The 14,407-nt window shown below is 34.2% G+C and overlaps 1 protein-coding gene across 13 annotated transcripts in view; it reads left to right on the top strand.

Annotated features, from left to right (window-relative positions):
* The window catches only part of ZNF385D (zinc finger protein 385D), a 960,546-nt gene that overhangs the window by 519,928 nt on the left and 426,211 nt on the right, over window positions 1-14,407 (top strand). Inside the window, exons 1-2 of one of the 13 annotated variants that reach the window (XM_017007193.2) lie at window positions 1,826-2,164; window positions 3,117-3,180. The exons of 11 other annotated variants lie outside the window; for them this stretch is intronic. In XM_017007193.2, the coding sequence (XP_016862682.1) occupies window positions 2,117-2,164; window positions 3,117-3,180 (112 nt within the window). In that variant the 5' untranslated portion in view covers window positions 1,826-2,116. Of the gene's footprint in view, window positions 1-1,825; window positions 2,165-3,116; window positions 3,181-14,407 lie in introns of those variants that run through there. One more of the 13 variants, XM_047448956.1, reaches the window with a different exon arrangement.

Genomic DNA, 14,407 nt, shown 5'->3' with positions numbered 1-14,407 from the left:
CAAGTCTCACTCTTTTTCAATATCCTAATCCGTCTTCCCTTCTCCCTTCCATTAAGTTTCATATATTTTGTACTGACCTTTATCCCTTGAGGTAACTCATCAATTCATAACTTTTCATCTTACCCCCAATTTTATTCTTTGTCAATTTTTTAGTAATGACATAATCATCTTGTCCTAAGTAGTACTGTAGAAATATAATTTACTGCTATGCTCAGGATAGTAATTACTGCCTAATCTCATGCTATGTGGTATAGCAACATTTTTTCAGAATTCTTTTGATAAAGTAATTCCCTACCAATCACACATTTAGCATGATATTCATCGTGTTCCTGATTTTGATGCCTCAAAAGTAAAAGTAATGTAAAATCAATAAAGCCACAGGTCTAGAGGTGACAGTTTTTAAATGAATGCTGTCTATTACAGTCACTTGGGGAGCCTCTTTTATGACTAAGACCTAGGATTAGTGTTGGAAATGTCCTGAGGGAAAGTACTATGCAATTAATTGAGCTTGTTGGAATTTCTACCTTCTCTAAATTGCCTCTCATTCCTTAAGGAATAAGGAATCTTATTCCTTAGAGATGTGCAACCCAATGAGAGACATATAAAGTGTATCCTGTAGCTTTAGGAAACAATAAATTCACATTGAAAAACAGAGCAATTTTTAATTGTTTAACAACGAAAACTAAAAACCCGATGCTCATAAAAACTATTTGGCATTCATTCATTCACTCATCCATTCAGAAAATACATTTTGAGAATCTACCAAACAGAGTCTAGACATTGGAAAGAAAATAAAAAAGATAAGAAGTTTTGATTTTGCTGTCATGAAGCATTTTAGAAGAGAAAGATAAGTAACAATATCAGACAGTAATAAATGATTGGAAATTGTAACAGGGCAACAAGACAAGGAGTGTCAACAGGGACTGTGTTAGGTTGAGCAACCAGGAGACAAAGGCCAAGGTAGGTGTGAATTTCTTATGCTTGAAAAATAGAATGTTGTCTATATCTGGACCCCAATATTAGAGAAGAAGTAGAAGGATAAAATGAGAGACTACAGACTGACTGGCCTCATAGTTGAGTTGGCACCTTTTTAAATGCAGTGGGGACGTGTAGGAGGGTTTTGAATTGTATGTCATTGAAAATATTTCATAAAATTTATCATTTTATGTTCTTTTAATCAGCTATTATTAATCACATGAAAATATTAACATATGGAGTCATGACCACAAGATATTTTCTTTTTTGCTTTTTATTGCTGTTGAGTGTTTTTTAAGTGAATATACTATAATTTGTTTATTCATTGGCTATTTAAGGACACGAGAGATTTTTAGTTTTTAGTATTTTAAATAAAGGTTCTGTGAACATTCATGTACAAGTTTTTGTTTTGTGGAGAATATATTTTCGTTTCTATTGTAAAAACACTTAGGAGTGGAATTGCTGGACATATATTGAGTGTATATTTAACTTTCCAAGAAGTTGCCAAACTAAAGCAACTGTAACTTTCACACTCTTACTAGCAATGTGAGAGTTCTGGTTGCTCCATGTCTCCAAGGTATGCCTGTAGTTGCTTTCATCAAATTCACAATCTTTTCTTCTGTAATGCCTGATCAGCTATCAAGGCCATCTAGTGAATTTTTTATTTCACTTACTTTTTGTTTTTACTTCTATAGTTTTTATTTGGTTCTTTTTTAATGTACTTTCCATTTGTCTTTTCATTGTTTTTATGTTTTCTTAAAATTTTAAACATGGTAATAATATTAGCTGTTTTAAAATCCTTGTCCTTTGATTTTATCTTTCTCATTTCTAGATTTGTTTTTATTGCCTAGTTATGAGTTATATTTTCTGGCTTCTTTACATGTTAATTATTTTTATTGGATGCCAAATATTTGAATGATACATAATGGTTTTTCTGGAATTTTTTATTTTTCTTTAAAGAATGTTCAGTTTTGTTTTGGCAGGCAATTAATTTAGTTGTGGATCTGTTCTGTAATTTTTAGGCACATTTTTAAGGCCCACTAGGAAAGGTATAGTATAGCCTTTACCTAAGGCCAGTTTATTCTTTCTTTTAAGGCATTGTCCTTCTGGAATCTTAACGAAGTATCCCAAGTGTTCAACAATGTTTCTCCCTTTGGCTGGTCAGAGTTTTAACATCTCTCAACCACGTGTGAGTTCTGTTCAATTTCTAACTTTTAGCTCCCGGATACTTGTCCTGTCTCCATTAATTGATCTTTTCTGGCTTGGGGAAGTCTTACCTTAATCATTTAATTTAGCATTCAGCCAAATGCTCAAGGAAACTACTATACAGATTGTAAATCATTTTATCTAAGTAAATCCCTTCTTTTGTATCTTTTGCCTCACAAATTCCAGGCTACTTCATGTCAATCTCTGATTTTTGTGTCTACAGCTCAAAGAGACTACTGCACTTCACTTGGCCTTCCTTCACTATCCCATCTTCTGTAAATACTGACAAGCACAAAGCTGTCGTGATTGTAGGGCTTACTTTGTTTTCTTTGTCTCAGGGATCATAATCCCATATTTCTTTCTGTGCAATGTTGGAAAATAATTGTTTAAAGAATTATCCACTTTCCTAGTTCTTTGTGGCAGAAGGGCTAATGTGGAACAAGTTTTTCCATCATGTGCAAATGTTTGATAAAGTGAGTATACATTTTTATATCTATTATCCATTAAGCCTTTGAAAGAGAGATATAACAGCTTAATTTTACATGTCCATATTGATAATAAATTATAAGTTGCCATAATTTGCAACTATTTAAACTCAATAAACAATTTTAGGCTGAGTGTGGTGGCTCACGCCTGTGATTCCAACGCTTTGGCAGGCTGAGGTGGGAGGACCTCTGGAGTCCAGGAGTTCGAGACTAGCATGGGCAACATAGTGAGACCCTATCCCTACAAAACAATTTAAAAATTTGCTGGATGTGGTGCAAACCTGTAGTCCCAGCTACTTTGAAGGCAGAGGCAGGAGAATTGCTTGAGGCCAGGAGTTTGATGTTACAGTGAGTTATGATCTTGTCCCCCGCAAAAAACAAAAAAAAAGTTTAGACCTCTACTCAATAATATTCAATTAGAAAAAAACATAAGTTTCTCAAATCTTTTAGGTCATAGAAGAAAAAATTTTGAGGACATCTGCATTAGAAGATATGAGAGTGATTCAGACCAGAGGTAATGATGTGTAGAGCGATGGTGGTAGAAAAAAAAAAAAAAAAAAAAAAGAAATGGGTTTCACATACAGTTTGGAAATATAACCAAATTCTATTTGTGGTGTGAATGGAAGAACAGAATAGAATATTCTTTAATTATTGTGATGTCCCATGTTAGAAGCTTTCTTTTATATTTTATTCTTTTAATTAAAAATAGGCAATGGATGTTAGAGAAAGGACATGTGGAATATTCAGATGTCACATTCTCCTGTGTTAAAGAACCAGAAAAGCATGCTATGTAATAACTTGTATAAATATTTAAATTAGCAATTCACAAACTCTTTAAGTATTAGCTCATTCTTTTGAATCAATTTAGAATTCTCTTTCTTACCATATAAGAAGTGGCACTATTACACTGAATATGTAAGATGCATGAAGTAGAGTTACATATGAAGAAAAAAATTTACTTTGATGTTAGTGTTTTCAAGACTTATAATATGTAGCAATAGTAAAATGCGTTGAATTAGAAAGGGGATGTGACAGTTACATGCATGTGTATAACCCAAGTACCAATATTATAGGCAACAACAGATATGATGTTTGAGTGTGTTATGTAATTCAGACATAGTGAGAGTGACCACGTAGAAGTAGTGCTTACACTGTTGATAAAACTTTAAGAAAGAAGTCTCAAATAGGTTTAAGTAATGAAAATTTAATAGAAGATAATGTTCATGTTTATGGAATGATGGCTATGTTCTAAGATAGAAGACTATGATCTCTAATTATCTATTCACAACAAATACATGTGATGTCTGCCAGCACGTTTAGAGTCTATGTAAGACGAGATAAAAGTAGCATTCCCCTTCTTTATATGTTTGGTGGAATTCACCAGTGAAGCCATATGGTCCTGGACTTTTCTTTGTTGGGAGGCTTTTGATTACTGCTTCAGTTTCCTTACTAGTTATACGACTATTCAGGCATTCTATTTCTTTACGATTCTGTCTTGGTAGGTTGTAAGTTCCTAGGAATTTGTTTATTTCTTTTAGATTGTCCAATTTGTTGATGTGTAATCATTCACATTAGTCTCTTTTGATTCTTTGTATTTCTGTAGCATTGATTTTAATGTCTCCTTTTTACTTCTGATATTACTTATTTGAATCTTCTCTTTTTTTCTTATTTTAGGTAGATTATCAATTTTATCTTTTAAAAAACCAACTCAATTTTATTTATATATTTGTTGTTTTTCTATTTTCTATTTCATTTATTCTTCTAATCTTTATTATTTCCTACCACATACTCCAGAAATCCTATTTCTAAATATTTATCCGAAGTAATTGAAATCACGATCTCAAAGAGATATGACCACTCCCATGTTCACTGTAGCACTACTGACTAGCCAAAATGTGGAAACAACCTAAGTTTTCATGGACAAACAAATGAATAAAGAAAATGTGGTATACACATAGATCGAAATATTATTTGTCCTTTTTTAAAAAAAAGGAAATCCTGCAATATTCTACATCATGGATGAGCTTTGAGGATATTATGCTAAGAGAAATAAGTCAATTGGGCTAAGTGAAATAAGTCAGTCACAGTGGGACTGAATAATTCACTTATATAAGGTATTTAAATAGTCACACTTATAGAAGCAGGGAGTAGAATGTTAGTCACCAGAGGCTGAGAAGGAGAAATGAGGAGTTGCTAATCAACAGATATAAAAATTGAGATATACAAGATGAAAATGTCCTAGGTATCTGCTGCACGACATGGTGCCTATAGTCAGCAATGTTTTACTGTACACTGAAACATTGTGAAAGTGTGGTCTCATGTTAAATATTCCTACCACAAAAAAATAAACAGATTAGTGGCTGCCAAATGTCAGGATATGAGAGAATACTGATTGCAAAGGAATAAGAGGGAACTTTCTAGGATGATGGAAATGTTCTGTATCATGACTATGGTGGTATTTCATGATTCTACTTACCAAAACTCATAAAAGTATGCACTTAATTTTGGAGGATATAAAAAATTTCTCAATAACATTGGCACACAGACACACCCAAAGGAGAGGAAACTGCAAAAATATTGTTACATTCAATCAACTACACCCATGATGTAATTATTTAATTCCCCTCTTTTTTAGTAATCTAAAATTTGTCAAGAGGTTAAGAAGATCCTAATCAGCATAAAACAATTGGATCATTAGAATATTTTGCTATTGTTCCTATCAAAAACATAGAAATGCAATTGTTCAGTTATTGGTGCAGCCTTATCAATGGATATATTTCTTATTTTAATTTTTTGATATCGTGATAGTAGATCAGTGCCTCTTTTTTGTCACATTTTCAAACTTTCTTAAACAGTGGAACTCCAGCAACGACTGTTTTGAATATACATAATGTGATGCATTCAAATAACTAAAAAAGTCCTTTGCATGTAGCACCTCTTTTATTCATTCAGGGTTTTTTGGTACCATGACTCATAAAATATATGACTCATCAAAATATAAATTCTTCCATGTTTCTACTGCTGAAAAATTGCTTTAGCATCTGGATTTCCAGAGGTGAAATCTTTGACAGCTGGTAGGGGATTAGAATTTAGAAATAACTTCAACTGAAAAAGTTCAGGTTGAAGCCCTGTAACACAAAAGTACCTGGTTGGGGCTTGAGAAGGCCTGGGTTTTGCTTTTACTTTACCTCTGACTAGTTACATGACCTTTTTATGCCATAGCTTCATAGGATTAAGGAAATCAGGCAAACCACTAATAGGTTATCAGTTCTCTTTATTAAGCTTTGTCAAGGACAGATACTATATTTTGGTCAGCAAGGTTCCAAGTGTCTGCAGCTTTGGGCTGTGATTTACACCAGATTCTAGCTTCTTAGAGGTGCTTCTCCTGGGCGCACCATTAAGCCGCTAGAAAGCCACTTCTTTGAGCCTTTCCCATCCTCTCTCTCTAAAGCTAGGGCTTGTGCTGGGGATAGTTAATTCCTAGGAATCAGACTCTGGAAAACCTCAGTCATTTTCCATTCTCTTAGATCGCCCCTCCACCGCAGTAGTACTCTGCTGCTTCCTTCTTTTCAGCAACATGTCATAGACTTCTCAATCAATTTCTGATTTCTCATATGCCTGGAGGAAAAGACTGCTTCACCTCTCAGCTATGGCAAAAAGCCCTAAAGCAATAATTGCAAACTCTGGGTACCTGCTTGAACTCCAAGACCATAGAAAAGATCAGGAGCACACAATTTAATAATTCAGTAATTTCCCTACTGTATTAGTTTATGAGAAAGTGCTTTTTAAAAGCACTATTCCTACCCCAAACTTAAGGAACTTTTGAGTAATTAAGGTATGGCCTGTACCACTGAAAGACTGGGCAGATGTGCAAGTCTAAAAATGTGAAAAGCTATAGTATATTTTTATTAGAACTGAGCAACTAGAGAAATTCCAAACAGAATCACCTTTCAAATGCTTTTTCAAATTCCTCACTCTACCATGTTGGCCTGTTTCCCTAGCTGTACAGTTATATCTAAGACATCTTTCCACAGCAAAGACTAATATGTAATTGCAATTATTTTTCCAACTCCTGTGACCCCGATGGACACAGCCTAAGTGTTCATTCAGACTTTGGGGAAGAAATGTTTTCTGTATGTTACTAGCAGGCTCCTCAGCCTTCAGAAGTGTAGCGTAGGTCTCAGGGTGAGCATGCTTTAAGTACTTTACATATTGTGTAAAGCTACTTCACAGTTATTATCAACAAGATTAATTTATTTTTGCTCTGGGAGCCTCTTTTTTGTGTGAATCTCTAAATATTTTTCCATATTCAGGCGTATTTTCTTAATCTGACATTGATGTAGAAATTGCAGTCAAGCCTCTCCTTTACAAGTTAAAGACGTTGATTCTTAGAAGCTCTCATTAACCACGAAAATCGCATTTCTAGTAATCAAGACTTTTAAGCCTTCTCACTGAAGATCCTGATGTTATAATATGGCAAATGTGGCTGAGGTTATTTGGGTGTTTCTTCAGGGGATATATTTATACATCAGAAAGAACTTACAGGACTGTAAAAAAGAAAGTCCTTCTAGGAGGGATTGCAATGTTGAGAGGTTTTCTAGATTAAGTGGAAACTGGTGTGGTTTGTTCAGTTTATCTTTCTAAAATATAACACAGAGAAAATTTATTTTTACTTAGAAATATCTTTGTATCAGCTGAGGGAGTAGATTTCATATCTGAAAAGGGATTTAAAGAGAAGAAAGAGAAGGAGAAGAAGAGAGAGAAAATATAATAGCGTTAGTCGTAGGAGCTACTGTGTACTTCGTGCTTTTATGCCTGAGTTTATGCTACAACCAAAATTATCATTGCTATTATATTCCATTAGACCAAAAGTCACATTTATGCAGTTTCCTCCAGGCAAATTTAAATCTCAATACTGTTTTTCTTCTTTATGTTTAATCTCAGGAAGCTCTATTCTATAAGAGGCAGCAAATTTGCAGCACAGACATGCAACCTATAATCTGGCATTCGTAGAAGTAGACTAGAGAATAAATGACTAACCATAATTCTGACATTTTAACTCTTAAGTTATTCTCTTGAATAAAAATGTCGCAAAGCAACTTTAAGACCTGCGTTAACATTTCTTTTCTCTTTTTTCTTTTTCTTCTCTTATTTATTTACATGTTTGCCTTCGTTCATGATTTGGCAGTACATCAACACATGTTTTAAAGTGTTAGAAAAACAATAGCTCTGTAAGTGAAACCTACATCTATAAAACCAATTCTAAAGTCCACCAAGATCTCTTAAATTATCTCAGTGTATGCTATATACTGATACTTGTATTTGTGAGGTTGAACAAGGCAACTCTGAAAAATTTCAGTAAAATTGATCATTTTTTTGCCTTCCAAAACTAAATGAAAATACTAGCATCAGGTAGAATGTGAACAATTTAGTGACAGTGCAATTTTGCTGATTGTAACAAATTCCCATAGGCCTCAATATTTCAGATTTTAAGCATCTTGCACCAGGTGAACTTTAAAAATGATGTCATGCACTGAATTTGGATTGAATGTTTACCATGCAAAACTTAACATCTTTCCTTTTGGTTTGGTGATTTATCATTTTTAAAAGGCTTTCCTATTTGATTTTTGTAATCAGAGAATGTTTTCTAATCAGAGAATGTTATCCTCCACTTGACACATAGGGAAAGTGAGCTTCGGACAACTTTAGCATCCAGGTTGCCTATCAAAATCCCCAAGAAAGCACCATCTATAATGGCTAATCATCAAAATCCCCAAGAAAGCACCATCTATAATGTCTAATCAGCTGGTAAGCTAGAATAAAGCCAGTGATCCTCTGTTCTCAATTGAGGATAAATTTCCTTTAATAAAAACACTCTTATGATATTGTATTTTGAAGAATGAAACAAAACCACAATAAAAAATAATAACAAAAACCCTCCTCTCTTGGCACGAATTTCCTAATTTGTAAAACAAATGTACTAAATCTTACTTGTCCTGTACTGTCTACCTCTCAGGGTTGTTTTAAGGTTAAATTACATAAGATAGTGAAAATCCCGTAAAATATATGTTAAATATCTCCAAATCTCCCATCTCTGCCAGATATCATCCTTGTAAATTCCAACACAATTCCTAGAACAAGACTTTCTACTTTTTGTGTGACGCATTACTTGCTATGTTATTTTATATTTATTTATGAATGTATCTTATCTCCCTACTAGAGTTCCTTTTGTGCACATTCTATGTCTGTTTCAACTTTGTTCCCCAGCAGGAAATGAGATGCTTTGAATGGAGTGGTTGATGATTAGAATAAAAGAATGAAATGTTCTCCCCTCATCTGGAAGATACCATGCTACCACCTGGGACCCTTTGAATTGTTTCTGTCAAAGTTCATATTGAAATAACTCTTTCATTAAGAATTCACCATCTGCTGGGTTTCATTTCTTTTCAAAATTGGTAATGACTTGATTATTCCCCTTTATCATCTTCTGACTTTAATACATGCCTGCTATTGATAACTGCTTGGTTCTATTCATTTTTGTATTCTTGAAGTGCCTAGTACAGTATCCTCTATATTTTAATAGCTCAATATATTAATACATTTTGGTTGGATTAACATATAAATAGATGTTAGTAATTGTTCCAACCTTGAATCAGAGTCTACCTCTCACGTGCTTGGGCTACAGAGCATGATAAATATGACTTTGTATCTCCTGAGCTCACTTTTCTAAAGTGGACAACAGGCTCGCATTTCTCTTAGGCTGAAACATATCCTCAGGGATAATTCAAATGGTCAGGATAATTCCCCTGGTCCACTAATGTCACATTGGTGACCTTCTTGACTAGGCCGATGATAAGTCCCCCAACAAAGAGCAAAGTGATAAAGGAGCTACGGTTAATCCCCTGAGTGCTTCTACCTGCTGGTTCTTAAACCTTTTTCCCCAACCCAAAAGTTCAGTGTCTTTATACTATCTTCTAACTGCTCAGAGAGCCCCACACAATGATTGTCCTGTTCAGCTTGTCTTGAAATGAGACAAGAACATTCTCTTGCAATTATCTAAGAACTACTCTCCAGGATAAATAGTTTCCAATAAAAGCCAACTCTAGCTTCTAAAGGATCTCTTCTTAAAAGCTTTTATGCTAAACTATTTCAAATAAGGACCAAGCTTTTGCTCTAAACTATTTCAAATAAGGACCAAGCATTCTGCATGTAATGCAGTGCAATTTGAAAGAGAATAGATTTTCAGAAGTGCGCCAACCATGTCTGGCAGATTACCATTTATTTGACATAAATGGAAGAGACCAAAATGATCTTATTTTGAATTCTGTTTTTAGAAATGTCCTTATCAAAATAATTTTTCTGCATTAGCTTAACTGCTGTTTGATAGCAAATCAAAGGTAGAATTAACCAAAGCTGAAAGTATTGTACTTCTCTACCATTGTGGCATTCAAAAGGTGATGGATTGACTGCATCACTGAATGAAATAAGAAAAGGCTTTCATTCCACTTACAGAGTTTTACAACTGGAAAACAGAAATTTGGATATAAATTCACATCCTCAGACCAGTATGTAAACAACCATCCCAAAGATCTAATTACAGGGTTAATATTTAAAAGCATTGCCATGAGTATCTGTGATGGCCCTAGAGAGCCTGTGTCGACCAAATGGGGCTTGAAGTCATCTTTCATGATTACCAATCACTGGCCTTTCACATATGAGTCAAATTCAATTCATAACGGCTGGATTCAAGGTAGGGGAAATTCACATAGGCAATAGGAATCAGATCTGATAGAAATCAAATCTCAGGCCAAAATTCATTCTCCTTCCCTTCCCATCTTGCTCCTTTTTCTCCCAAAACCCTAATAGCACATATATTCAAAATGAGAGGTATTTTAAATTGCATTTCTATTGTTCCAGAGAGTAGCTGCTCTATCAGCCTGGGATTCAGAGCAGAGCAGAGCAGAATCCAAGGTGACTTGCAACATTGAGAAAAGATTACATATTGAATTATTATTGATAACCAGTTATCTGTCATTGGTTTTTCATCTGAAAGAGAAAGCAGCTTTAAAATAACATATAGTTTTAAATTTAACAAAAAATCTAAATTTTAGAAATGATAAAAATTATACAAATACATTTTCAATTATATATTCCATTTTATATATTATACAAATACATTTTCAATTATATAGATTCAATTATATATGTGTGTTTGTGTATGTGTGTATATATATGTATATATGTGTATATATACATATATGTATGTATTTCTGAGGCGTGACTTGTTAGAGAAAGAATAGAAACAAAAAAAGTATAAAGGCACAGAAAAATATGTATGAATTGCGAATTTACAAACTTAAAAAATGTTATAACAAAATACATCAAAAATTAAACCAATAAAGTCAAGGTCTTCCTAAATTAAGTAAAAATTTAAGCAAAATGAAAAGTGTGTGTAATTTGGAAGAATTATGCATACTTATACTTGTGTTTAATAACTTAAGTATTCCAAAGAACCCCTAAAAATGACAAGAAAAATAAAATGGAAGCGATTGAATGGACATAAACAGGCTATTCACAAAAATGGAAAATTTTCAGCCTTATCAGTGGTCAGGATAATACAATTAAAACGAAGAGCTATTATCATTGTGCTCATAAAATTAGCAAAACTTACGACTTGTAACCTAGAATGCTCCGTGGGAAGATAAATTAATACAGTAGTCTGACTTTTTTTAAAATGAAATGTTCTTTAATTCAACAATGTCAATTCTGGGAATTGATCTCAGGAGAATTCAAAGGATCTCAGCTTACAATTATACATAAATGGATATTTATAGCAACACTGTAGTAGAAAAACCTTGGAAGTAATCTGAACACCCATCAGTGCAGGAATAATTGAATAAATAATGTGCATCTATTTTTGGTATTACTATGAAGCTATTAAAGAGAATGAGTTACGTCTGTTATCACTGGTCTGTAGGGATGCCCACGATATGCAGTTTAGTAAAAAACACAAGCTGCAGAGTAATATACATAGTAGGTGCCATCATTGCTCTGAATGTCCTTGCTTCATTGCCTTTGACGATTCTTTTCTCATGAAACTTGCTAACAGTCTCTTACCATCTGTATGTCTAATTCTTCTTTCACATTCATATTCACCAGGAGCCTCAGTTTGTCAGGGAAGCTAAATTGACCAACCCAGATTGGATACATGTCCACTACCTGTGCCTTCAGTTTATCCTGAGCAGGTCTCAGTCATAGACATTTATTCAACTCTTGGTTTCTTTTAGACAGCAAACTCTTTGAAGCCAGGGATGATTGATCTCCTCTCAGCATTTTCAATATAATAAGTATATGTAGTGATTGACATAAGGGGGTAATTTATCAAACTTTTTTGAATGAATGAAAAAAAGTGCGGTCCAACCACATTCCAAAAGCAAATGTATAAATAAATAATGGTAGAGTATTAGAACTGGATGGAAACATCACCAAATACTGAAGAGTGTCATTTGCTAAGAGTTTTAATACCGAAGCAACGGTTTCCAGCTTATGGGTCGCCAAATCCCAAATGCATTCATATGCCAACGTTGGATTAAAAACAAAACTTTTCTTGAAAATTCCCAGTTGCCCATAAAGCACAAAATCTTTAGTATTGGGCATACCGTTATTCTTGTGTTTGCTAAAGGTTGAGCACTATTCAACTAGACAAAAGGAAGGAGTGCAATGTCGATATGAAGATATCAGGGAATAGGAAGCATGCTATCTTTAAAAGAACGGTTATATCCCTTACAAAGCCCTCTGAGGGGTAGAAAAGTAAAAGTGATACCACTTGCCTCCAGCTCTTCTCTATTCTGTTTTAATTTTAGGTCTTTGAAGTCTGAATTTGTCTTAATTGTTTGTTTCTGTGAGGGTTAAGTGAGCCACATCTTACCCCATGTCTTGCATGTGTAATACTTACATACTACTTTTGAATGCATGTATACCCTCTGTTGTCACTGAAATACAAATTCAGTTTAAAACATCATTGAATTTATTTAGGCTTTTGATTATCTGTACCTTCTCAAAAATATGCGTATAAAAAGCAAATTATTATCAAAAGAGGTTATCACATTCTTCTTTTTTCCACTTATAACAGGGTCCTCACACCCAAAAACGTTGAAAAATAATTACCTAAATATAAAGCAGTATAGGCACAAGCATCAAACAACATGTTTATCTGAACATAATTGAGAGAGATTTGCAGTCCGGTGTAAGGCTGTGCGCTCTCGGTCTTTAGGTGCACAGTGGGAGGCAATTTCTGACCCCTCCAGTAGAGGGAGACCTGGAGATCAGTTCTGGCCAGTAATACATGTGGGAGTAATGAGGGTCAAGTGCAGGTCAGGCATTTGATTGCTGGTATGTGACTCTCCAGGGATCACTTTTTCCACTGCTACAGCATCTGGGAAATGTTCCAAATAATGGCTGTTCTGTCAGCTGAGTCTTAAAGTGAAGGCAAAGTGATGTGGTCTGGAGTCAGAGCTGACCCATAAAGATCATTGTGTGGGGCAAGAAATACATCTTTACTCTTGTAAGCAACTGAAATTGTCGGCCTCTTAGTTATCATAGAAAAAGCTAGCCTCTCTTGCCTAATAGAGTTTCTGCTATTTGAGTTTTTCTTGGGAGCTATTTAATTACATCAATTGGCTTTTAATTGTACCTTGGAACTGGACATAGTTTAGGAAAGTGAGAGATTTTAGAGAAGAAGCTAGGCGCCAAAGACTGGCTATACTGGTTTAGTCATCTTTTATGATGAGTTTGTAACAGATGATGAGCTTTTGGACTGTGAAGTCAAAACCATTTTTGTGGCTGGTGTTTCACTTAGCTAGCTACTCCTGAGAATTTCATAATATGAGATTTTAAAATGTGGTTGGTTGATTAACTGGTTGTTAAAAATTATGTGATGATACTAAAAAAATGTTACCAAAAAAATGGAAGTGACTAGTTTTCAGAAAAGGCCATAGGGCTTAATGATTAAGGCTTGGAGTTAGAAAGACCAAGGACAGAATTTTGACTTTGCATTTATAGCCATTTGATAATCGTTAATTATGTTAATCAAAGATTATCTTCTAATAACCTTTAATTATTATTAAAAATATTTTTATCTTTTTAGCCACAGTTGCCTCATTCATCCAATGTGAATTGTAATAATAGAAAGTACTTCATAGACTGCTGTAAGCATCGACAGAAAAAATATGAAAAATGTTTTATATGTTCCCACGGTTATTGTTTAGTTTGTGGTGTTATTATTATGAGCAAGTTATATCACCTCTAAGAAGCATCTTTTCTCACACTTTAACATCTCTGAAATCAAGACACCTATTAAAATTGGTGATATTTTATAATTATAGTTACTGGATGATATATAAGTTAGCATGTAACTTACAATAGATGGCATCTTAGATTTGAAGAGACAGGGTTGTGATCATATTATTAACAGGGTTTCTAGCTAGGGCTCATTTGAGCATCATAGATGGATAAGGCCAGTTTGCTATCCTTTAAACATAAAAAACCGTGACCTTCCAGAACTTCTCTTTTCCATCACTTTGACAATTGACACTCAAAGCCGCTATTGTTTTTTAGTGGCTGTTGGGAATTTTCTTCCTAGTGCCTTAGAGTGTCGGTGTGATATTCTAGGCAAAAAGGTCTTATAGCTGAATTAAAAACACTCAAACAGGAAGGCTGGCCTCTTCATTGTTGATTCGCAT

This window comes from Homo sapiens, chromosome 3 (assembly GCF_000001405.40).
Source record: "Homo sapiens chromosome 3, GRCh38.p14 Primary Assembly".
In the NCBI taxonomy this organism is placed as follows: Eukaryota; Metazoa; Chordata; class Mammalia; order Primates; family Hominidae; genus Homo; species Homo sapiens.
Note: the sequence above shows the minus strand (reverse complement) of the source record. Positions and strands in the feature narration are given on the sequence as shown.